This window comes from Homo sapiens, chromosome 4 (genome assembly GCF_000001405.40).
Source record: "Homo sapiens chromosome 4, GRCh38.p14 Primary Assembly".
In the NCBI taxonomy this organism is placed as follows: Eukaryota; Metazoa; Chordata; class Mammalia; order Primates; family Hominidae; genus Homo; species Homo sapiens.
In genome coordinates, this window is record NC_000004.12 from 152613112 (window position 1) to 152639775 (window position 26664).

The 26664-nt window shown below is 41.4% G+C and overlaps 1 protein-coding gene and 1 pseudogene across 1 annotated transcript in view; both read right to left on the reverse strand.

Annotated features, from left to right (window-relative positions):
- Nucleotides 713-1259, reverse strand: RPS14P6 (ribosomal protein S14 pseudogene 6; annotated as a pseudogene).
- Nucleotides 5517-26664, reverse strand: part of TMEM154 (transmembrane protein 154) — a 61370-nt gene continuing 40222 nt past the window's right edge. Inside the window, exon 7 of the mRNA NM_152680.3 lies at nucleotides 5517-15450. Within this exon, the coding sequence (NP_689893.1) occupies nucleotides 15435-15450 (16 nt within the window). The 3' untranslated portion in view covers nucleotides 5517-15434. The remainder of the gene's footprint in view (nucleotides 15451-26664) is intronic.

Here is a 26664-nt window from a genome sequence, read left to right on the forward strand (position 1 = left end):
CACTAGTGATTAAAAACCCGGTGTTATCTTTCATCCTCTTATTCATTCAGTTACCAAACCTTTCAGATTCTCCGTTCATTAATCTAACATTTTAAGAGCATATTATCTCAAGAGATGATTGATGCTGAGGATACAAGAATAAGCCAAACAGATATTTACCCCTTGTCAGGAAGCTTACAATCAAGACAGGCATTACTTAAATAATCATGCAAACAATTGTAAAATTGCCACTGGGTCAAGTGCTACAAAGAAAAGGTACTGAGAATACACACTGAGCTAAAATCTGAAGGATGAATGGAACCTAACATGGTAGAGAGTAGGGAAGGCAGTCACACTTCAGGCAGAGTAAACAGCAGGTGAGAAGGAAAGGGCTGATATACTCCATGAGTGAAAAGAAGGCTGTTGGCTGAAGCTCTAGGAGCCAAAGAAGCAAAGGCACGATGCAGACCGTGCTGACTTTGAGCTTCCTTTCAAACCAATGGGAAGCCATTTGAAAGGTTTTAAGCAGCAAAGGGAGGGCTGGCAGTGACCTGATCACTCTACACTGCCCTTCCTCTTTCTTTCCTCCTCTTTTCTTGATTCCCCCTGCTGCTGCGCTCATTTTCTCTCCCCTGCCTTCTCTTCCTGAACTCCCCCTCCACAGGCTGGGGATCATTCTTCAAATCCCAGTGTTGATCATTTGACTCCCATTATTTGTTTTGTTGTTGTTGTTGTTTACACATGAAGCCAATTTATTAACAGACAATATTTTGAGGACTCCTGCTCCCAGGCGGTGACCATGGCAATCCTCCTTCCTCTAGTGCTGTCGGAAGGGAATGGGAGTGACATCCTCGATCTGCCCCGATCTTCATCCCCAAGCAGGCAAGTGTTCTGAGGGCTGACTGGGCCCTAGGTCCAGGGTGCTTGGTCCTATTTCCTGCTGTGGCCTGGAGTTTGCAAATGTGTAGGGCAGTAATGCCCCAGCTCCTTGCACTGCTGGGCCACCTCCTGGGCAGCCGACATGGCAGTGTGTGGTGAGGATTCATCCTGTCAGCTTTCATCTTCATCCTGGCAGCCACATGGCAGGTAGTTCCCTTGCCAGAAACATCAGTGACATGGACAAAGGTGTCATTGAAGGAGACAAAGATGTGGCAGGCACCAAATACATTCTCTCCTTCAACCACCTGAGGTCCGAGGCTGATGACCTGTTCTTCCTTTTTCTTCTTCCTCTTGGAAGGACCATTTCTGTGCACTGTCTCCAGACTACATAAGGGGAAGAGGATCCATTCTTAAAAGCCTCCACAAGCTCCTCACTTCCTACTAAATGCAATCCAACTTGCCAAACCAGAGTTCAAGGGCTCTTCAAGGAGGCCCTAGCCACCGGTGCAGCCTTCATTGCCTGCCACTCCCCCTATGCACCCTAAGTGCGGCAGCCAAGCCGTGCAGTCCTGCGCTTTCTGACTCACACCTTCCTCACACCCTCCCCAGGGCAGGAATGCCATTTTCTTGAAGGGCCTTTTGTCCTTTAAGACCCAGCTCAAACTCAACTGCTCTTTCCAACCCAGAGCCATCCATCCCTTCTTCCTGTGTCTGAGCACTGTAAATGCTCCTCGTGGGGAACCTGCTACTCTGTGTTTGGGCAGAAGCCTTATCTCCCGAATCAACTTGTTGACAGGAGGATCCTGGCTTCCTTTTTGTACCCAAGAGGGCTCACTGTGCCCTACTTAGACAAGGGGCTTAGGAAATGTCAACTGAAGCAACAAATGAATGACACTCAAATAAGTGGGTGAATAGTATCCAGGGTCACACTTGGCACAATTCTTTTGCAGTTGATGTCCACGATATATCTTCAACATGATGCTGGTAACATGCAGGCTGATGTGGGACACAGACTACCTGTGTTCAACTCTCAGCTTGTCCACAAGCTACCTGTGTGACCATGGACAAGTTGCCTCATTTCTCTGTGCCCCAGTTTCCCTATCTGCAAAATGGGGGCAATAGTTTACCAGTGTCCTGCGGAGTTAAGCAAATTAATTCACATGAGGCACTTAGAAAAGTGCCAGTCATGGAGTGAGTACTCAATAAAAGTCTTCATCATCATCTCATCATTCCTGCTTAGAATGACTCTCACTGTAGGAGAATGCCTGCTGTGACCCAGTGACCTACAAAATAACACTTGGTCTCAGACTTCGGGGCAGCACGAACTATCAACCGTCTAGGAGGGAGCCACCCAGCAACTCTCTATCTTAAAAAAATGCACCTGTCACGTCCTCCGTCTTGTCCCACAGACTTCCAGTTTGTGCTTTTTCAGCTACTGGACTGTGAACTCCTCAAGTGCAGAGACTGCAATAGTAACAACCAGCATGACAGAATCCTAACCACACTCTAGGCACTCTCAATAGATACGAGCATTCGTATCTATTAACTCAAGTCGTTTTTCCAAAAGTCTTGTGGGGGACCTGGGGCACCAAGAAGTTAGGTAACCTGTCCAGAGGCACAGAAGCAGCTTTAAACCCAGACAGTCTGGCTCCAGGGGCCATTGGCTTTTCTGCAATATCTCACCTCCTCTGTGCCTGGTGCATAGTAGGCACTCAGGAAAATGTTTCCTGAATAAGTGAATCCCAGTGGCATCTTGAGGGAAGCCTTCTAGTATTTTCTCTGTCCAGGATTTCTGACTAGCTTCCTCTCCCACTGACCCTTCCACTGCAGCTGATAAATGCTCCCTCTCTTTTCAGGAAACCATTGCATGCTCCCTCTGGGCTGCTGGAGGAAGTCATCCTGTGTAACTCCACGCTGTGGTCCATTTCCAGACCCTTCTCACTTTCTCTTTCTTAGAAAGAGATAGGTGGAGACTCCAACACACTCCTCAAAATGAAAATTGCTTTGCTAGGCTGGTGGAATTCAAAATGGTTTTTTAAAAAATTTAACTGGATTTTATTTGCAATATACATTTTTTTACTCTGTGAAATATGTATATGTTAATTGTAGAAATTATAGCAACTACAGAAGTATACAAGGAAAGGAATTTAAAATGGAGGTTAGTTTTGCTCTTTACTCAAAATATTCTTTCATGTTAAATGATCCTTACAGCAAAAACATGAAAAGAATCTAAGTGATTAGACATTATGCATTATGGGAAGAAAAAATGTTTCCAGTTCTGCCTTGTTCCCATTTAGCTTCTCAGGGTCTTGACAACTGCCTTAACATCCTCCTCTCCTGCCCTAACTGGTGAATTGAGCCACAAGGTGAATACAGAGGCCCAGAAAGTTCCCTGATTCTCCCATAGTTTCCAAAGGGAAATGGGCAGAGTGTTCAGCCTGGATTAAAGGAATGCATGCAGAAAAAACCTGTACCTTCCATACCAAGAAGCAAATCTTTGAGGGTTTTCTACCTCCCCTTTCAGGATCCTTTCTCTTTCCTACAAAAAACGGTGCTGGTCACATACACCACAATATATTTTGTTCAGTTTTGCAAATGATTTTCAAGCAACATTTATGCTGTAAGAATATTAGACCTAAAATTAGGATTTTTCTGTTTTGGTTCTTAATATTTCTTCTTTGGTTAATAAAAACGTATTCACCCTATTTTTTTTTAAAAAAAACATATACTACAAGGCAATATGTATGTGTTGTAGAACATTTGGAAAATATTAAAAATGCACAAAGAAGGAAATGAAAAGCATTAGTAAAGCCACCATCCAGAGAACCTGGCTCATTCTCAACTTCTGACTCTCTAGATGTGGATAAGTAAGTACAGAGGGAAAGAAACATGTGCATGGTGGATACCTCTGCATTTGGCTGCTCCCGAGTGCCCGGCATCTGTTCCTAGCACTCTGATTCCCTTTAGAAACTGCTTTCCCCTGTATCTCCTCCCCACTGCCAACCACCTAACCACCCACCACCCACCCATCCACTCACCCACCTGCAGGAGTAGAGAAAAGTGTCAGGCCCACTCCATCCCTGTACGCATTTTTACTGGGTTAGGCATAAAACCCAGATAGTCTAATCAAATTCCTCTGGTGGTTGGGGGGGAGCTTTTAAATATTAGACCCAGGGAAGGATTTTCCCTTCTACTCTGGTGGTAAAGACAGAAGACTCCTGGAGCTCCCAGCTGCAATAATTACAGTCCTGTAGAGAAAGCTGGTCCCAGAGAATGAATGAAAGACAAAATACTGGAGAAGCCTGATGGGGTTTGAGTCCCTGGTCTCATTGTTACTCATGTCAGTTTTACCTGGTTCTGGTTGTCCCTGGAATTGGCAACTTCTTGCCCTTTCCAAGCATGATGACATGAGCCAATAAGTTTCCTTTTGGGCTGGACTAGTTTGAGTTGGACATTTTCTCACTGGAACCAAGAGTCTTGTTTAAACAAACACACCACTATTACACATACAGAGAGACAATTAGAAGTGTATTTATTTAGTATATATATAACACTATGCGTATGTGTGTGTGTGTGTGTGTGTGTGTGTGTGTATATATATATATATATATATTTTTTTTTTTTTTTTTAATGCAAAGAAAACTGTTGGGCCTCATGTCACTGGCTCTGGATAAGGCCAAATGTATGGGTGGAGCTGCCCCCTCCCGCGGTTGACCCAGTTAGCTCCTAGCATTTTCACGGCTCTTATGGGAGTCAGCATGTGTGCCCTGATGCTGTGGGAGTGTGGGTCCAAGTTTAGGGTCTGTGATTCACACTGTCTCTCTGGAACTGGGCTTTCTAACCTAACAGGGAAACTGGGCAATGCTGACAAAAAGAAGGTATTGGCTATCTAGTGTCCTTCCCAGCCTTGCACTCTCAGGCCACACTGACCCCTGTTCACTGTGCAGCCAGCGGCCAATAAAGGCAGACTGCATAGCTCAGCTCCGTTGTGGAAACCGCCTCTCCTCACCTCATTCCTGCCCCTTTCCAGTCTGCCTCTGTTTCCCTGTCACCTCTAATTTATATTCCAGATTTTGACCCCTCCCCTGCCCCTTTGGTTTTAACAACGAATCTTAGTTTTTGCTGTTTAACCCACATCCTCCCACCCTGCTTCTCTTGCTCATGCTCTGGACGCCCCTGGAACACTGATCCTGACGTGAGTTCATGTGGCTGCTTCCTTAGAATCTTCATCTCAGTTGCCGGAAGGCAGAGGGTCTAACAGTACAAGCCAAGAGGAAGGATGGGGTTCCCTTAGGAATGGGACAGGGTGGGTTATGAACAGAAAGGCACCTTCATGCCAGGTAAAAAGCAATCAATTGGCACTTGTAACAAGATGGAGGTATTTCTGCATGGATTTCATGGAGTTAAGAGGTAAGTGGGTCTTAGCCCATTAACTGGCTTAGTTGGTCTCAGTGACATTCAGAGGTGCTGGGGAACATCTCAGGAAGGATTTACAGTGCCTCTTATTTTGTGAATCTGTCTTCCTGCCCAGAGAAGAAACAATCCTTCTCTGTGCTTGTATTATCACCTAAAATAGATGCTTTCCTCTTTTTCTTAATAAAACTTGTATTTCCTTTCTCTGTGGACCCTCCAGAGGGCAAAGAAGAGAAGCTCAGATCTGGGTTGGAAAGAGCTGCTTCGAGCATTTTAATGATCAGTTAGGCTCCATCCCCAGTTTTCCTTCACCTTCCAAATTGGGGCCACTTTCTCTCCACCTCCACTTGCTTGTTAGTTCAATTATGATCGTTCTCTGCTTCCTTCCATATTGGATTTAATGTAGCTAAAAATACAATACAATACACACAATAGGACAATATGAAATAAAGATAAAGAATGACATCAGGATCCATTAGATGGAAAGTGAGGAAAATGCAATTAAACCAGGAAACTTGGGAGAAAATGGTGATGGAAGATGAACAATACCATATTTGAGTTCTGCACTCACTGATGATAAAGACTGATTAGGTACTTAAGGAAAGATGATATGTAACTCCTAGCTCATTAAATAATTGGTTTTTCTGTTATTATGGAGCGTGCAGTAGCGCCAAGCACTTTTCAGGATACAGAGATGAGTAAGACTGATCCCTATCCTCAAGGTGCTCAGTCTAATCTGCTCCCATTTTAACCTCATGCTTTGAGAGTAGTCATACATTTCTATGTGTCTGATCCACCTACAACCCATTCAGTCCCATGGCTCATGACTCATGTAGTTGGTAAAACTAGTTCTACCACCTACTACAGACTACTGGACCAGGGGTCTATGTCCAAGCCAAAGAGCACATAGGCACTGGGATTCAGGGAGGTCAAATATCCACAATGTTCCTTGACACGAAACTACCTAATATATTTCCTCGATATTGCATGAAGACACACCAATTTGGGCAGATCACATTTTCCAACGGTGCCTGCAACAAATCCCTTATCCCACTTGCTCTTCTCATAATGTGGCTTTGACACGCCTCCAAGGACAAGTGGGGTTTATGTCCTTTCCACCTTGAACCTAGGTAGACTTTGTAACTGTCTCAAACAATAAAGTATGGCAGAAGTGATGTGATGTGATTTCTGAGTCTAAATTATAAAAATACTATGCATTTCTACTTTGCTCTCTTGGGACACTTGCTCTTGGAACTCAGCTGCCATGCTGTGAAGAAGCCCAAGGAGTCTATGGAGAGGCCCACATCATAAAAGCCAAGGCCGCTGGACCACAGGCTTGGCTGGGCTCCTATCCGACAGCCAGAACAAACTTGCCAGCCATGTGAGTCATCTGAAAGTGGGACCCCCAGATCCAGTTGAACTGCCCAGCCAATGCCGTGTGGGAGAGAGTTGAACCATTTGCACTGAGCCTCATGCAAATTGCAGATTTGTGTGAAAAATAAATTGAGTGTTGTTGTTTTAAGCTGCTAAGTTTTGAGGTGTTTAAGCAGCAATAGACTGCTGAAACACCCATCCAATCAGGTTTTCTCTCTTGGGAAGTGTGAACACTGGATGCCTCCAGGGGTGGGCCACTTGAGCTCAGGCTGAATCCCAAGCAATGCTGATTTTGCTGTTCTCCACACTCCTATATACATTCTAGGCTGGAGTATCCTGCAAGCCAGCACGACTATGGCTGTGAAGAGGCAACATGCCAGTCTGCTTGAATGTCTTTCCAATTCTAGCACTAAACACACCTGTCTCTAACTTGAGAGTCCCTGGACATGCCTCTCCACTGCAACCTTAAAGAGGATCATATGCTGTTTATGTCAGCTCTAGTAAGTGGGAACTTTATTTTTTCACCTAGTGACCAAACCTTTACCAGCACTTAGATTTTAAAACTAGGCTTTTTACTTATCACCCCTATTCTAAGCCCTGGCTTTTTTCTCAGCATGATAGACCATTACTTCTGGGCCTAGGGTCCTGCCTTCACTGCCTCTGTTCCTTCTTATCTCAGCCTGCAGCCTCTGTTACTTCTTATCTCAGGCTATGCTCACCTTAAGGCATCCTTGACAATGACTGAAACTTTTTTTTGTTTGTTTTTTTGTTGTTTTTTTTTAGACAAGGCTGGAGTACAATGGTGTGATCTCATCTCACTGTAACCTCCGCCTCCCAGGTTCAAGTGATTCTCCTGCCTCAGCCTCCTGAGTAGCTGGGATTACAGGTACATGCCACTATGCCTGGCTAATTTTTGTATTTTTAGTTGAGACGGGGGTTTCACCATGTTGGCCAGGCTGGTCTCAAACTCCTGACCTCAGGTGATCCGCCTGCCTCGGCCTCCCAAAGTGGTGGGATTACAGGTGTGAGCCACTGCACCCCGCCAAGTGATGCCTTTTAAAACACTTTCCTACGGCTAGTTATTGGGGATGCAGTGCAGTGCAGTGATTAAAAACTTGTGCTTTGGAGTTGGAAAGACATGGAACAAGGTATAAGTTCTCTAAACCTACCTCATAAGTAATTACTAGGATTAAAATGAGATGATGTATGTTTAGTGTTTAGCACCTTCTGGCCAGGGTGGCTACCTCTTCAGATACCCAATATTCTTCCACCACTTTGTGAGACAGAATCCCTTATTGTTGAAAGTGATAATGTACCAACCATAGAGATGACTGTTCCCTGCTGCCTTGCAGAGATTGGCCAATGAGATGTAAGCAGAGTTGCTTCACTGGGCTGGCAGGAAAGCTATTTAAAAGTGGCTGACCTACTTGGGAGGCTCACCCTTGTGCTGGTTCCCTCTCTTTCCTTCTTGTGAATATCATGCTGGAGTTACAACCACCATTTTGGATCATGTGGCAACACAGGAAAGAAGCCCTGTACTAATGAAGGTGGGGAAGAGTTAGAAGGAACTTGTGTCCTAGATGACCAGGGAGCGGCCATATGAGCTCACCTTGAATCAGGAACTTAATTCCTAACTGATCCACATGATGAATGCTGGTCAAGATGCATCCTTTCCCTAACTCTGTGGGACTGCATGCTCTTTGGGTCCATGCTGTCTCCAGTCTGGCTAAGTTCTAGTTAAAACAGGGAGGAAATAGACTCTGCATCAGTTTCTAGGGGTAGATTGATGCCATAATGGACCAGGTTTAACTTTAGTTGAGACTTTTAGGAGAAATCTTCCTGCCTGTTGTTTGTCAATAATACTGACTGGTCTTTGTGAGCCGAAAGAATAAATCCTTATTCAAGGAAGTCTTCATGTTATCTACAACTTATGAATCTGCCTTTCAGCCTTACTTTCTTCTAATATCAAGGTGTGAGATGAGGTTAAAATTAAAGGCATGAAGAAAAGTGAGTAATCAGGAAAAAAAGAGGTTTTCTTGTGGATTTTTCCATTTTTACTAGAATTTTTTTTTTTTTTGAGATGGAGTTTCACTCTGTCACCCAGCCTGCAGTGCAGTGGCTCAGTCTTGGCACTCACTGCAAACCCCGCCTCCCAGGTTCAAGCAATTCTCCTGCCTCAGCCTCCCGAATAGCTGGGATTACAGGCGACAGCCACCATGCCTGGCTAATTTTTGTATTTTTAGTAGAGACAGGGTTTCACCATATTGGTCAGACTGGTCTCGAACTCCTGACCTCAGGTGATCCACGTGCCTCAGCCTCCCAAAGTGCTGGGATTACAGGCATGAGCCACCATGCCTGGCCTACTAGAAATATTTTTAAAAGTTATATTCTCATAAACAATTAAAATTTCATTCCTTCATTTAAAAATGTTTTGTAAGGAAGAATAAAGACAAGAATGTGTAATAATATATTTTAGATATGCAGAAAGTCTACTTAATTTTTAGGTTAGACAATTTTATACAAAGCAGGCCCCTTTTTGAATTGGTATTGTTTCGTTTATTTAAAGAATTATATGGATCAAAAGAGGGCAATTAAGAATTATGAATTATGAATTCTTTTTCATAGACACAGAAATTAAAAGAACTTTTCCTTAGAAAGATGCATAATTCACCTCTACTCTTAGTAAATAAAACATTTTAGTAAACAAATATCTTATCCTCAAATACACTTTTATTCTAAATATTGATATTAATTACATAGAAATTCACATAGAAGCTATTCATTCCTCATATCTTATAGTGCTTTATTTTTAAATTTATAAATGTTTTTCAATCTATCACTGCCAAATGAGCAATTTAGCACACAAACATGTACTTATTTTATTTAAAAAAAAATGGAGTTGAGAATAATTTATATATACATATGTATACTGACATTTATAAAATTGTAAATCATACTGGAAAAATACTATACATATTATTCTCAGTATGCAAAGTAGGAGAAAAACACCTAAAACCTTTAATCAGTCTTAAAATTCTGATAGTTTTACAAATTAGTTCTAATCCGTAGCAATGGGACCATTTCTTTTTCTTTTCTTTGAGACAGAATCTTGCTCTGTCACCCAGGATGCAGTGCAGTGGCACAATCTTGGCTCACTGCAACTGCCGCCTCCTGGGTTCAAGTGATTCTTGGGCCTCAGCCCCCCGAGTAGGTGGGATTACAGGTGTGTACTACCACACCTGGCTAATTTTTGCATTTTTGTAAAAATGGGGTTTCACCATGTTGGCCAGGCTGGTCTCAAACTCCCGAGCTCAGGCAATCCACCAGCCGTGGACTCCCAAAGTGTTGGGAAGTAAGCCACTGTGCCTGGCTGGGACCACTTCTAATATGAGGCTTACAAGGTAGAATTTATATGCTGCTGGGACAAAAGCTAAGTGGCAAATATGACATCAGATGATCTAACTGACCTTCTCAGCAGATACTCTGCATCACTTGTAAAACAAAAGAAAGTCAAACACAGTGTTTTTTTTTTTTACATAATTTTCAGTTAACTTTAAATACAAGATACACATGTGTTAAATTATTACTAATCTACCAGATTATTGTTTAACTTGTTGAATACCTATAATCTCTGCTTTTTCTGAAAGCTGGCATTTATTAAACATGTGGAGTTTTCACATGTTCCTGGCATTATTTATAATTTGAGGTGTTTCACCGACATCAGAGTAATACATTGCTTACTCTCCACTGATTTGTACACTGGAAAAATGTTGTTTGCTGCAGTGTAGTAGCTACATATCATTCTTTAGTCCTTTACATGCAGACCAAAGAAATGAAAACTGGCTGGGCATGGTGGCTTATGCCTATAATCCCAACATGTTGGGAGGCTGAGGTGGGCGGATCACTTGAGCCCAGGAGTTTGAGACTAGCTTGGCCAACATGGCGAAACCCTGTCTCTACTAAAAATACAAAAATTAGTTGTGCATGCAGTTGTGCACGCCTGTAATCCCAGCTACTTGGGAGGCTGGGGCAGGAGGATCGCCTGAGCCTGGGAGGTGGAGGCTGCAGTGAGCCAAGATCATGCCACTGCACTCCAGCCAGGGCAACAGAGCAAAACACTATCTTAAAAAAAAAAAAAAAGGAAATGGGAAACTGTTAAGAATATGCTTTTCATAAAAGTCCAGTTACTTATTTACAAAATACTAAAGGCCAATGATAAGGTGATATGAACTGAGGAGTACCATTACCCAAGCCTTCTGTACCTGAAGTCCAATTGTAAAAAAAACCCCAAAGCCCATCCACCTTTGTCTTAAACAGGTCTACATTGTACTTCTAAACTTGTACAGTCTTCATGAAATTAACATCTTCATGTTTTCTTAAGCACTTTGGTTTAGAAACTTCTTAAAATATCATTCAAAAAGAGCTTAGAGCATGTACAGAGTTCATATAAAGCTCTATTTTACATAATTGTATATACTGCTATCTCAGGAACATGATATGTTATTTAGAAAAGATAGTAGGGCAAAAAAACAAAACACAAGGTCCAGGTACAAATAATTCCAGCCAGTTATGGTGGCTCACACCTGTAATCCCAGGACTTTTGGAGGCTGTGGTGGGAGGATTGCTTGAACCTAGAAGTTCAAAACCAGCCTGAGCAACACGGTGAAACCCTATCTGTACAAAAGATACAAAAAATTAGCCAGTCCTAGTAGTGCACACCAGTAGTCCCAGCTACTTGGGAGGCTGAGGTAATAGAATCACCTGAGCCTGGGAAGTTGAGGCTGCAGTGAGCCATAATCACACCATTGCACTCCAGCCTGGGCATCAGCATGAGACCCCGTCTCAAAAAAAGAAAAATAAAAAAAAACACCCAAAAACTATCCCCAAGAGGACTAAGAAGGAAATAAAACTTTGGTGCCAGACAAGACAGTATCAAGATAAAGCCAAAGAGTTGCTAAAAACAAAAAATAATAATAATTCAGGCAATTGGTTGTCTGGGTTCTGCAATTTGAAATATTCCACTAGACACTAATATACAGGAACTCTTTTGGTCATTGTCACATAGCAGAAATGCTGCTATATGTGAAGTTGTTCTGGACTGCCTGTTATAGCTATTAAATGGAAACCCCAGAATTCATCCTGAATGTCTCTGAATGTGAAAAGTCACATGCGTTAATTTAATTCAGTATAAAATTTCCATGTTCTCCCACAAGGAGGATTTCAGCAGTGTCTTCCCAGCATGAAACCATGTCTTATCACTCCACCAGATTCAGAATTGGTACTAATTCTGACAGAAGCTGAAACTAAAGCCTATGTTTTCTTTAGTCAACATAAGGCCTTTTTTCAGAGATGGTGTGAATTAATAGTTTAAACCACCAAAATAAAAGAATAGACAAGTATTTTCTTAACATATCCATTTCCATTGCTAGAGCTGCGGTGATCAGCAGAAGCATCTGCCTGGCTGTCAATATCAAGGTGGATCCAGGCTGTTGGAACTGGTGGATCCAGGGGTTGGAACGGAGGAATACTAAAAATGAGACTTGGAACTTGGAAGGCCTACACCACGAGGGCCAATTCTGCCATAAGCCCTATTGCCCAGATATGTTACATAAAACATCCAGATATTACAGTGAAAGTCAGTGTGTGGCCAGACACAGTGGCTCACAATTGTAATCCAGCACTTTGGGAGGCCGAGGCTGGTGGATCACTTGAGGTCAGGAGTTTGAGACCAGCCTGACCAACATGGTGAAAACCCCATCTCTACTAAAAATACAAAAATTAGCTGGGCATAGTGACACAGGCCTGTAATCTCAGTTGCTTGGGAGGCTGAGGCAAGAGAATTGCTTGAACCTGGGAGGCGGAGGTTGCAGTGAGCCGAGATCGTGACACTGCACTCTAACCTGGGTGACAGAGTGAGACTCCATCTCAAAAAAAAAAAAAAAAAGTCAGGTGAGAAGAAGTAGCACATAGTGAAAATGAATATAATAATTTTACAGCTGGTCGGGCTCAGTGGCTCATGCCTGTAATCCCAGCACTTTGGGAGGCTGAGACAGGAGGACTGCTTGAGCCCAGGAGTTTGAAACCAGCCTGGGCAACATAGTGAGACCCTGTCTTTAAAAAATAAAATAAAATAATTTTACAGCTTTTGGTTCTCCTGTATTATACAGCATAACTAGGAGAAAAAAAAACTATGAAATTATTTTCCCAAGACCAGTTTTACTCATCTTTATCACATTTGTTTGATGTGGGTTATCCAGGAGCCACCTACATCAAGGTGGATCCAGGCTGTGGTCTTGCATTGGGTAACAAAGCCCTTCCCAGAGGGAGGAGTCACACCATTGGGTCAAGAGTCATGAATGGGTATTTTTACATATTTATTAAAACAAGTTTCCTGAGAAGTTTGACTAGGCTATGTTGTTGTTAACCTAGTTTGCTTAAAATGTACGAAAATGCAATCAAACTTACATATCTTTTAAATATTCGAAAGTCAGATTTTGTTCTGATTGCCCTATCCAATTAGGGCAAATTAGTGAGGGTTTTTTTGGTTTTTGTTTTGTTTTTTTAACAATAGTCTGAAACATAAAATTAAGTTTGGGTTTAAAAACAATTCTTGAAACTGTCATAAACATATGATATCTATTGATTAAACAGTAATAAAAAGACACAAGGTACAAGAATTGAGGCTTGGCTGTTCTGGCTGTATACTAACTTCATATACCCTGACAGAATAAACTATCTTTTTAAAAAGTGCTTTGTACACTGCACAATTATAGCTTTACCAAATAAAAACTCAATGACATGTCGCTGAAATTTGCTTCTTCTAGAATTTGAAATTATTTAAAATACTGCATGAGAATATTTTTATCATATTATATAATATGACTTCATCAACATGAAGTTCCAGGACCCCAGATGCCTCTCTGAGAAGTTCATTATTTGATAGGGTTGGATCAAATGTAAAGGCCCAGGTGTTCAAAGATCTTAGATACCTAAAGAGAGAAAGGGGCAAATGGAGGCTCTTCTGAGAGTCAAAATGTTGATGAGAAACAAACTGAAAGTAGCACACATAGGCAGAAAAATAGACAAGTTATGATTCAGAAAACAATTGTATGCAATTTTGGCATAAATATCTGAGAGTCACTGTGGGCCATGAGTTGAAAAGGAACATGCAAGAGAGCAAGGAAAACACAAAGCCTCATTCAGATGTGCTGGTGAGAATATGACAGAAAATCTGTTGAAGTTGTGTACCATGAAGTCTGTCTTTTGTCAAAGTTCTATGCAGTCCCAGGATAGCGTGATAGCAGTGGTTAAACACAACCAGCTAGTTATAGCTTTCATTGTATGGAAAGACCTCTCTGGTCTGGAACTCTGCCTTTGAAATTATCCACGTAGTTCAGAAGGCAAATACTTGTTAAAGGGATCCCAAAAGGTAGGAGACAAGTAGTTTTTGTTATGCATTAGGGCAGACTTTCAAGCACAAGACACAAAATTGAGCAGCAAATGTTTGGGTAGTCCCATCTCCCTTCGGTTTATATGTGGGTAGTAAAATAAATAAAATTTTCCTTCTTTGTCTCTTTCTTGAAATAAAATATCAGGTATCCAAGGAGAGCTGAGGATTCTCAATTTGCTAGATTGCTTTAAAGGGGTCAGATTTAGAAAATTAAGGAATAAATGAAGAACAATTTTACTGGAGTAGGTGTGGTCAATAGGCCCTTTTCCATTTTGTGCCATTGCTTTTAGCACAAGGATGTCAAAAATATCACATAGAATGTCATCTCTGATGGACTGACAGAGACCTCCTGTTGTGCTGTGTTAGGACATGAGGCTTATCCCAGCTTGGCGGGAGAGAATGCTAAGCATGATGAGTGAGATCTGCCACAGGCACGGATATTTCCTGCTCCTCTTCTGTTTGTTTCAAACCACCTTCAGGATCTCTGAAACATAGAAGGCTGACAGATGACTCCCACCTGCACATACTTCCTACCTACATGTCACATCCAAGGGAGGTATGGTGAAACAAGTGTGAGCTTTGCAGAAATGCTGACAAGCAAGGGAATTTCAGCTGAGGAGAACATTAGTTCTTTCACTGAAGATTCCTAGTTTCTCTGAGAAGTTCTTAAGGGTGACCAGACCTGGCCATGCTAGGGTCTACAAGTTACCAAACGCCACCTCATCAGGACTGTGGACCCCTCTCACTGTGTCTTCTTGGCAGGCAGAGCTTACTGACCCCCTGGGATGGTGTATTCATTAAAATACTTGCTGTGTTTGGTGTCTTTTCCATGACATAACACTCCTCGAGAAAAGTTCCTGCTGAATGTAGTTTACCTGTCCCACGACTTGAATAATCAGAGGAAATTATCCAAAGCTGGTTACTGACCCAAAAGGAAACCATCGATAAAACAGCTTCCTGATTTAGGCCCTAAGGAATGAAGCAGAAAGGTGACGAACATTTATCATGACCAGAGTGAGTTCAGTGAGCTAGAAGTTGGCTGAGAGGAGGCAACACATGTTGATCAGAAGTGAGCACATCACCCGCCTCCTTCTCCACCCTCAGAGGCAGCGATGGATGGCAGCCAGGCCTTTTCCTAGTACTTCTCAATTGCACATTCTTCCAAGTGCAAGTGATGCCATCATTAGGAAGAGTGGGCGTTGGAAGAAACAGCAAAAGGTTCTTGTGTCTATGTTGATTTGAAATTAATTAAATTTGTATCCTCTTCATCCTCTGTTGGCAGCCTCAGCAGACTCCCTCAGGGGCTGCTTCTCTTGGAAAACATGAGCGCCATTCAGGTTTAGGATTCACTGTCACTGTAAAAAAAAAAAAAAAAAAAAAAAAAAACAAAAAAAACACACACACACACACAAAACAGTAATATATTTCTTTCTTTTTTTTTTTTTTTTGAGACGGAGTCTGGCTCCGTCGCCCAGGCTGGAGCGCAGTGGCACAATCTCGGCCCACTGCAAGCTCCACCTCCCAGGTTCAGGTCATTCTCCTGCCTCAGCCTCCTGAGTAGCTGGGACTACAGGCACCCACCACCAAGCCTGGCTAATTTTTTGTATTTTTTTTTTTTTTAGTAGAGGCGGGGTTTCACCATGTTAGCCAGGATGGTCTCGATCTCCTGACCTTGTGATCTGCCCACCTTGACCTCCCAAAGTGCTGGAATTACAGGTGTGAGCCACTGCACCCGGCCAACAGTAACATATCTCTAAGAAGCTAAAGAGAGCTGGTCACTCCATTATGGAGGTGACTGAAGAGATCACAAACCATCAGGAAGCCAATGGTGTCCAGCTTACAATTTCTGAAACGAAGGTCAGTCTAAATTTTATATCTGATCCCTGAGGAAGAAATCCATGAAAGCCAAAAAATAATCCCTAGCTCTTTCTCCTCATAGCCCTCCCCAGTGCTGATGCAGAGAGAACCAGATGGAGTTGGGGGTTCCCCGTTTAATAAATCTAATCCCATTCTCTACGAATACGTGCCAAATTGCCTTTTGCTGAAACAAATTTTCCACATGCCGTTTTCTCTCAAGAGTTTGTGGTCCTGGCATGTCTTCAATAGCCCGTTTTGTTCATACCTACAAAGGAGCTGAAGGGGCCTTCTCAGTGTCATTTAGAATTCAAACATCGGGCATCCTGGGGTGTGAGCAGACATAAATGATGTACATGGTATTTGAACATGACCATGCTGTTGGCTAATTTGGTCTTTTGCTTCTAACTTGGCTGTCTTTGCCAAGTACCTGGCTCCACACCTTTTTCCTGGTGGGCCCACAGCTCCACCAAGTCTCCTGGAAAACAGGTGGCACTTCCCTTCCTCGCGCTTCTCTTTTTAGTTCCGTACTCCCTTCACTCACATCCTAGCAGGCCTCTATTTGAAGTGACCTCTGCTTCCAAGGGAGCTTGAATGATAATGATCGACAGATCTGGTATCTCCCTCGCTCATAGATGTGGATAGTCTGCAATAGGTGATATTCTTCTGACTCCTACTTCAGTGCTCTCCTACTCAGTGAAACTCCATGTGTTTCTAAAAGGACTTCGGAGCAACTGAGACACACATAGATAGATAGACAGACAGATAGATAAATAGGTAGATAAGTAGATAGATAATGGATGGATCGATCCATGAAAGGGCAGGAGACATTGTGTATAGGTTTGTGTGTGGTGTTTGTTCATGTTGTGAAGACAGAGGCATAAGCTATCATAAGGAGAGAAGAACAATGGGAAAGGAGGAGGAGGACAGAATTTTATCTGAGGCAGGGAAGTGAACAAAAGGACAAACTAGGGTGGGCGTGGTGGCTCACAGCTGTCATCCCAGCTCTTTGGGAGGCTGAGGCAGGAGGATTGCTTGAGTCCAGGAGTTTGAGACCAGCCTGGGCAATACAGTGAGACCCCATCTCCATAAAAATTAAACATTAGCCAAGTGTGGTGGTGCACACTTGTAGTCCCAGTTCCTCAGGAGGCTGAGGTGGGAGGATTGCAGGAGCCCTACCGTTCGAGGCTGTAGTGAGCTGTGATTGTGCCACTGCACTCCAGCCTGGGTAAGAGAGACACCCTGTCTCAAAAAAAAAAAAAAAAAAAAGACAAACCATATCAAAACGTATTTCAAATGAAAGCCTGGTTGAAAACTTAGAAATGTTTCATCTGAAGAGTAGATATGACAACCCCTTTCACTTATGTCACCCTGAATAACTTTTAAATTAGCCAAGGAGGTTTAATTTCTTAGAAATTGGGTGGTAGTAAGAGAATATTTGAAAGATCCAGGAGTCTATCTCTACAGAACATAAGTCTCTGAATTGCATGTTTTCCTTTGTGACCTTATCTTGAAATTTCAGCCACTTGAAGCAGAGTATAATATACAGCTGAACAACAAAGGCAAAGCCCTCTTTTGTCCACAACATTAATCTTTGTCCAGCTGTTGTAATAGAAGTGATTTTTAAAGTTAATTATTATAAAATTTGTCCATATTCATTGGTTAAAAAATAGAAAACACAAATAAGCAAAACAAAAATACCAATAATCTCACTACATTAACATTTTGGTATTTATTCTCCCAAAGATTTTTCTGTGATAATGATATATATTCTTTTCGTACAAAATGGGATCATATTTTATATATTGTTCTGTAATCTGCTTTTCTCACTCTCATTCACATGTAAACATCTGTCTCTGCTAATAAATATACAATATCTTTTTAGTGGCTACATAGCTTTCCATTGTCTCACTAAATCAAAAACTTTTTTTAGCCAATCCCTTATTGTTAAACATTTAGGCTACTTCAAATTTTTAATTTTTATTTATTATAAACATTGCTACATCTTTGGAAACTTCCAATAGTTACCTTTGCATGTATCTCTAGAAAAGGAATTGTTAGGTCAAATTATATACAATTTTAAAGCTTTAATGGCCCATTGTCAAATTATCCCCCTTTCCTAGAAATTTTTACAATTTACATTCTTCCAACACTACTCTTTAGGGAACTATCCTTTTCCCCACATCCTCTCCAACATTGAATATTATTATTTTCTTTTTTTGTGTGAGTCCAATAGGTGAAAATGGTTTCATATTTACTGTTACTCTTTTATTACCACAAAGAATAAACCTTTTACAAAGCTTAGTTGGTAATTTTAATTTCTTCCTTTGCTGAATTGCTTATTAATAGTCTCTGATCATATTTAAAGTGGAACAATTATTATTGTATTTTTAGATAGGCTCTTGCCATGTCACCCAGGCTGGAGTGCAGTGGCAAGATCTTAGCTCACTGCAGCCTCGACCTCCTGGGCTCCAGCAATCCTACCACCTCATCTCCCCTTCCCCCAGTAGCTGGGACTACAGTTGTGTGCCACAACACCTAGCTAACTTTTGTGGAGACAGGGTCATGCCATGTTGTCTAGGCTGGTCTCGAACTCCTGGGCTCAAGCAATCCACACACCTCAGCCTCTCAAAGTGCTGGGGTTACAGGTGTGAGCCACCATGGCCAGCCAGCCTATTGTGTTTTTTGAAGTACAAGAACATTGAGTTTTTAATGTAGTTAAATCTATCCCCCTTTTTTTTTTTTTTTTTTTTTTTTTTTTTGAGACAGAGTCTCGCTCTGTCACCCAGGCTGGAGTGCAGTGGTGCTATCTCGGCTTGCTGCAAGCTCCACCTCCCAGGTTCACACCATTCTCCTGCCTCAGCCTCCCAAGTAGCTGGGACTACAGGTGTCTGCCACCATGCCCGGCTAATTTTTTTGTACTTTTTTAGTAGAGGTGGGGTTTCACCATGTTAGCCAGGATGGTCTCGATCTCCTGACCTCGTGATCCGCCCGCCTCGGCCTCCCAAAGTGCTGGGATTACAGGCGTGCACCACAGTGCCCGGCCAAATCTATCCTTTTCAAATATGATTTCTGACTTGTGTGTCATGCTTTCAAACTCGTTCCCTCCTTAAAGCTATATAATATTTTTCTATATTTTTTCTGGCTTTTTTTCTTTCTTTTTAACACTCAAACTCACCTGGAGTATATTTTAGTATAAAGCATGAGGTTGAGCTCTAAATTTCCCCCCAAATGTTAGTCAGTTGTCCCAAGACTATTTATTAAATAATGCACTTGCTATGAAATGTTAATTCTAGTTTGATTCCAAGTGTACACTGTTTTAATTGTTGATCAAGCATGACACGCTCCCTGTGAAGTCCCCACCCTTATTCCATCTTACAATTTCACTTTTTCCTTCTTTTAGAATTATCCTGGCTATTTGTAACCAGTTATTCTTCCAGATGAAATGTGCATAGGGATTTTTAAGATGACTGGGTTGAATTTAAGATGACCATTTTTACATGGTTGAGTCTTTCATCAGGAACACAGTATACCTCTCCATTCGTTTAAGTCTTTTATGTCCCACAATAAGAATCTGAACATTTTATATTATCACCTGCATTTTTTCAGTTAAGTTTATCCCTGGGTAGTTTACGTTTGTGCCATTTTTATGATATTACCAATGTTGGTGTGTGCTAACGAGTGGCTTTTTTAGCATAGTAGATAAGAGCCCTGGGTCAGTTGTCCTGAGTCTGAATCAGGGTTCACTTTCTTGCTATGTGACATTAGGCAAATTAACCTTTCTTAGCCGGAGTTTCTTATCTCATCTCACCTGCAAAACATACATAACATACCATGAGCTTTATTGTTTTGTAAACAATAAATGAGAAAATGCAGGTGAAATACCATACTCCAGGCCTGACACACAGACACATGAATGAATGTTAGTAATCCTTATTTTGCAGGTTTTACATAAGTAGCCAGTGTTTGTTGGTAAAACACTAGCATGAATATTGTTTCAAATATCCAAAGGCTTTCAGCAACCATGTTCCAAAACAAACTTTAAATTTCTAAGGAGAAGCATTTTGAAGGCTCACTGTGGGACACTGTCCATCAACAAGAACTTGTTTAACTTAAAGCACCAAAGAGGAAAAGAAGCTCAAGCTATGGTGCCCACTGCCACAGCTCTGTGGACCGTGAGCAACGGACAAAGCTCTGCTACTAGTTGCCTCGCCTGTGGGACATCAGGCCACTCCCAGAGTGTAGCAGCTCTTACTGGTGCTGGGATGGACATCAGGCATGTCAGTAAAGCAGCAAGCTGGGACCTGGCCTGCCACTTGTGCCTGGAGGCATTCTCTCCCAAATGCTCCTTCCTTTATTTAGTTAGATATGTTTCCTGCTGTCTTTTTGGCTATTTATTTTCTCTGTGGAATCATCAAATAAACCTAGACATTTTTAATTCTGAAAAGTCCTAGAGTTCTCTGTTAAAAAGATCTTAGCAAACTGTCACAGAATTGCAACACATCAAATAAGTGATCCCTTTTCAAACCTTTAGTTTGAAAGCAGTTTTGGTAACTTAACTATGATGGTAACATTAGCAAGCAATTTTTCTAGGAATGTTAGACAGATATTTTAAGAATGTGGGCCAAGTGTGGTGGCAAATGCCTGTAATCCTAGCAACTTGGGAGGCCAGGGCACTTGAGCCTCAAGGACCACTTGAGCCCATGAGTTCGAGACCAGCCTGGGGAACATAGTGAGACACTGTCTCTACAAAAAATTCAAAAATTAGCTGGGCATGGTGGCTCGTGTCAGTAGTCCCAGCTATTAAAAGTAATGGCAAAAACTGCAATTACTTTTGCACCAACCTTATACCTTATGTTTGGGTGGCTGAGGTGGGAGGGTTGCCTGAGACTGAGAAGGTTGAGGCTGTAGTGAGCTGAGATCACACCACTGCACTCTAGTCGTCTGGGCAAGAGAGTGAGACCCCATCTCAAAAAAAAAAAAAAAAAAAAAAAAAAGAAAGTGGAACACCTTTCCCAAAATCCTGTATAGTAACAGGCTGACAAATAAAACCAAATTTAATTGATTAGAAAGCATCATTGTATTGTTTTCTTTAAGAAGGCATGTAATGGGCATGCTACCAGTTAAATAAGGACTGATGCAACTGTAATACCTTGTTTCATAATTGCCCCTTTGTTGCAGTCAGGATTAGATAAGTCATCTTTGTTCTCCTGACCAGTCTATCTTGTAACAATCCCTCTTTATGACCACAGCTCATGTACTCTGTCTCCAAAGATGGCAATAAACCTATGTTAAAACTTTCTTGTGTTATGATGCTCTCTAACTCATTTTTGTGGGGAGTGCAGAGTTCAGTTTAGCATAAAGTCACATAACAATTAGATCAGGCTCCCTTTCTCTTCAATAGAATGTCCTTTCTCCTTCCTGCAAGAGGCCTGGTCTCAGGTGGAATGATTGAGGTAATGCATCTGGCTAACATCAGAGGCAAGCCTAGTCATGCACATAGATCATGCCCGTGTTGTGGATATAATCTGGGCCACTATTCAAGCAATGCTGTGGTTTTTAAAAGTAAGTACATCTTCTCTCATCCAACACATACATGCACACACACACGTGCGCACGTGCATCTGTGTTTTAATAATATTATTTGAGGTTATCATCCTGCAGGATTATAAACTGTTACTTTGTATCCCTCATAATATCAAGCTCAGATTTGAGAGAATCTGACACTTAATACTTGAATTACAGATGATCCCTGACTTACAGTGGTTAACTTACAATTTTTTTGACTTTACAATGGAGCAAAATTGATATGTATTCACTACACTCCTTGACTTATGATGGGGCTATCTCTAGATAAACATTATAATTTGAAAATATCATGCATTTTTGACTTCAGATTTTTTTACTTACAATGTGTCTCTCTGGACCTAACCCCACTGTAAGTCAAGAAGGATCTATATACGTTTAAATGACTTTGAGGGACTAAAGAAGAAAAGAGGAAAGCAGCCTCTGCACAAAGAAAAAAATTAGAAGTGGTCACAAAGATTTAACTGAGCAGACAGGCCAAAAAAAGCTCGCATAAAACTGCTGTTTTCTTGCAATTAATGGTTAAGTGTTGTCAATGACTGTGCTGAGTGACAGACACACCATTCACCGAGTACTTTCCTGTATTAGCCTCATGGTGGCTGGCTTTCTTGCTGCTGAGTGTTCTTCTTTTTCTAATCTATAATTTGTCTTTTAATTTATGAAATATCTCTTATTTTAACAAAATAATAAAAGAGAATGAAAATACATTTTTAAAAGAAACTTTTCTCTAGATTGAGCTTTATCAGCTACGAACCTGCCATGTGAACTTGAACAAGCCACTTAACCTCTCTGAGTTCTAAGTTTACTCAAATTATTTTATTTTTAACTGGTTGTTTTGACATGATGTAGACAGTGTCAGGCACATATTAAGTGCTCAATAAATGTCTTTTGAAAACCTACATCAAAAATTATACTTTCTCAAAAAATGACAAAGAGAAGGGATGAAACAGGAAGAAATCCACAAAATTCTCTATTAAACTAACCTAAATTTTTCCTGAAAAATAGTGAAGCAACTCCTTTTTATAATGACATCGAGCTCAGAAACATAAACTATAGAATAAACAGTAGAATTATTATAAGAACAGATATACTGTCACTCTCTCTTAGTTAATTTCTTAGGCACTAGCATATAGAAAATGTGATGTAAATGTCTTACTATTGCTGTAATTATTACTGTATTTTCAAAATTATAAATCCACTTGAGCAGAACCACATCTAATTCTTTCCCTAATCTTTCCCTATGTTGCTGCTTAATGTAAAATCATCCCTGTGGTCAAGAGATATAAGAGGAAAGAAGACAGGCATTTGGCTAATATTTGCGATTCCTTGTCTGTGGTTATTCATCTGAGATTGCAGAGACAGAAACACGAAGCTTTCAGGAAACCGTCTAACTACAAATGCCTCCAGAAGAAGGAAGAGGCTGGCTAGATTGGAAGAGTCATGATAAAAGGGACTTTTTCTTGTTTGCACCACTATCTAGTGGCATTTGGGAGGGTGTTGTGAGTGTGGGGTTAGGCAATAAGGGAGTGTGTTTTCTACACAGAAGTTAAAACAATAATAAAACCAACCAAAAGGATCTGTTTTCTGTCGTTACCATGTGTTGGCAATGCTTAACCAGATCAGGGATGAAATTCTCTTCAACTTGAGGGCAGACCCCTCCTAGCACCCTCCTCCCACTGACACTTTGCCCCTGGGCAGTGCCAGGCACATAGCAGGTATGAATCACGGAAAAGATGCTAAGATGGAAAATAAGAATATGAAACACTCCCCTCCCCCATGATTCCTTTGTTGCTTTTCCTATTGATTTCTTTCAAACATGAAAACCATAGTGTCCACTTCTCATAGTATTTTGTACATCTCTGGTCCTTATTAAAATCCTGTGCTGTCTTTCGGATTCCATAGCTCAGGAAGAATATCCATTCAATGAGGACAGAGGAAAGTAATGAACAAGACTGGCCAATGAGACAAGGATAAAGTTCTGAAAGGCCTGAGATTACAGACCCTAACAAGACAAGCTTGAAGAGTTGAAGTCTTTGCACACAATGTGGTATATTCAGTGTAGGATGGTTATCAGATTGACTCCCTTTTCCCAGAAGCATGGTGGTCGTAGGTTCTATGGACTTAATAGATAACAGAGGTTCTATGTCAGGCATGTCTTTCTAGCATCAAGGAAAGTGGAACCCTGTAAATGAATTCCAGAAGGCTTTGTTTATCAGGAGAAAGGAGAAGTGTGTCTTCCACTAAATTCAATTTTTAATGACTGTTACATACTTTCTGAAGCATTAAATTCACCTGTATACTACTTCAATGACAGAGGAAGAATCATGCACAAGGTAAAAGCCAATGGAAAACTTTGGGTGATAATGGTGTGTCAATGTAGGTTGATTGATTGTGATAAATGTAGAACTCTGATGGGGGACGTTGATAATGGGGGAGGCTGTGCATGTGTGAGGGCAGAGGGTATATGGGAACTCTGTATTTTCTGCTCAATTTTGCTGTAAACCTAAAACTGCCCTAAAAATAATCTTTTAAAATCCCAGTGTGGGAGGGGGAAGAACAATTGCCACTGCATAAGAATAATTAGTTTCACTTGCGTGGTGCTTTAAAACTTAGCTACTGCCGGGTGCGGTGTCTCACGCCTGTAATCCCAGCGCTTTGGGAGGCTGAGGTGGATGGATCACCTGAGGTCAGGAGTTCAAGGCCAGCCTGACCAATGTGGTGAAACCCCATTTCTATTAAAAATACAAAATTAGCCAGGCGTGGTGGTGGGTACCTGTAATCCCAGCTACTTGGGAGGCTGAGGCAGGAGAACTGCTTGAACCCAGGAGGCAGAGGCTGCAGTTAGCCAAGATTGCACCATTGCACTCCAGCATGGGCAACAAGAATGAAACTCAGTCTCGAAAAAAAAAAATTAAGATAAAAATAAAACCTAGCTAGGTGGTTTCATTCTCTTATATCATCCTGTGAAACTAGAAGGACAGATGTTCTTATTTCCATTTTTCAAGATGAAGAAATTAAAACTCAGAGAGCTAAAGTGACTTGTTTTAGTCTAAAGAACAAACAAGCATTCAAATTAGGTCTTAAAATGAGTCTTCTAAGTCCAATGACCCACAAATGCACTTTCCACCTGTATCTATAACAATTCACAAGCTTTTAGAGAAAAAAGAAATCTTATTTTTGTCCCAGGGTAGATACTCAAAGTAAACATTTTATGGATTATCAATTTAATTAAAACATTAGGATAGGAAAAAGAAATGTACATAAAATTATGACAGAAAAGAAAGATTATCCAAATTATAAGGTGTTACTATCCTTTTAAAAACTTCAGACTGGGCGAGGCACAGTGGCTCACTCCTGTCATCCCAACACTTTGGGAGGCCAAGGCAGCAGAAGGATTGCTTGAGCCCAAAAGTTTGAAAGCAGCCTGAGCAACATAAGGAGACCCTGTCACCACAATAAAGTAAAATAAAATTAGCCAGGCATGGTGGACAAACCTGTGGTCCCAACTACTCTGGAGGCTAAGTTGGGAGAATCATTTAGGCCCAGGAGGTTGAGGCTACAGTGAGCTGGGATCACACCACTGCACTCCAGCCTAGACAACAGAATGAGAGTCTGTCTCTACACAAAACAACAAAACACCAAAAAACTCCAGAGTGATAAGTGGACTATTCTGAAATCACCAACATTAATGGGCCTATGCCAGTAATTAAGGAGAACTGAAAGTCTCATAGTAGATCAAACAAATTCCTGATTTCCCAGGATTGGTAGGTCCAGAAAGAAACCACCAGGGAACACAGGGACAAAAATAATGCTTCGCCCACCAGTATTGATGTGTCTGGGTCTTAGGATACAGGCTTAGGATAAAGGAAGTGAATTTTTTTTTAATCCAGTGAGCTGGGTCTTAGTATAAAGGCAGTGAGTTTCTGTACATCAGTCCTAACTTCCTAATAATTATACTAGCAATAACCAGTGCTTATTGAGAACTTACTTTGTTCTGGGCTTTGTTCTAAATCCAATGTACTTTTCTTAGATTTTTTAATGAATAAAAAATTAACTTTGCAATATCATAATAACCTTTGAAGTAATCAGAAAGTGCCTAGTGGTACAAAGATCTGGGACTTGCCATTCTTGGTTCTCGAATGCTGGTGCTGGCATTACGAGAGGGCATAAAGTGAAGGCCTGACAGCCATCCTGTGAATGCCACACAGCTCTGGACCCACAGTGGAATGTAGACCTTCCCTTTTAAAACAATCATTTAACTATGTGAAGGCTCTAGCTCATTTTCTCATTATTTCAAAAATCTGACTTTTTTTTTTTGAAACAGAATTTCTTTCACTCTTGTTGCCTAGGCTGGAGTGCAATGGTGTGATCAGTGCTCACTGCAATCTCCGCCTTCCCAGTTGAAGGGATTCTCCTGCTTCAGCCTCCCAAGTAGCTGGGATTACAGGTGCCCGCCACAACGCCTGGCTAATTTTTGTATTTTTAGTAGAGATGGAGTTTTACCATGTGGGCCAGGCTGGTCTCGAACTCCTGGCCTCAGGTGATCTGCCTGCCTCAGCCTCCCAAAGTGTTGGAATTACAGGCATGAGCCACATTGCCTGGCCAAAAATCTGATTTTTAAGAAGATTTCACTGCCATACAATTCTGTAATGTTAAGCTTCTTCCATGTTGCCAACAATTTCAAAGAGCAAAAGGCAGGAATGTAAAAACCACTGAGGGTAGTTTTTAGCATCATTGAGGTTGCTCATCAGTGATAGAGTAATAAGATACTTAAGATATTTATGGAGTTTTAGTAGTGATCTGAGCCCTATACCAGACATATATAGTTACATATTTCCAGGTAAGATCAAAACATGGGGAAAATATTCCTTTGTAATATTCCCCCTGGCATTGTTGTTTTCTTCCACCTGCTTGTTAATCAATCTCTCTCTCTCTCTCTCTCCCCCTCTCTCTCCCTCTCTCTCTCCCCATTTCTTTTAGAGACAGGGTCTTGCTCTTGCTTGTTGCCCAGGCTGGAATGCAGTGGTACAATCATAGCTCACTACAATCCTGAAATCCTGGGCTCAAGCAATCCTCTCACATCAGCCTCTCAAGTAACTAGGACTACAGGCAAGCGCCACCAAGCATGA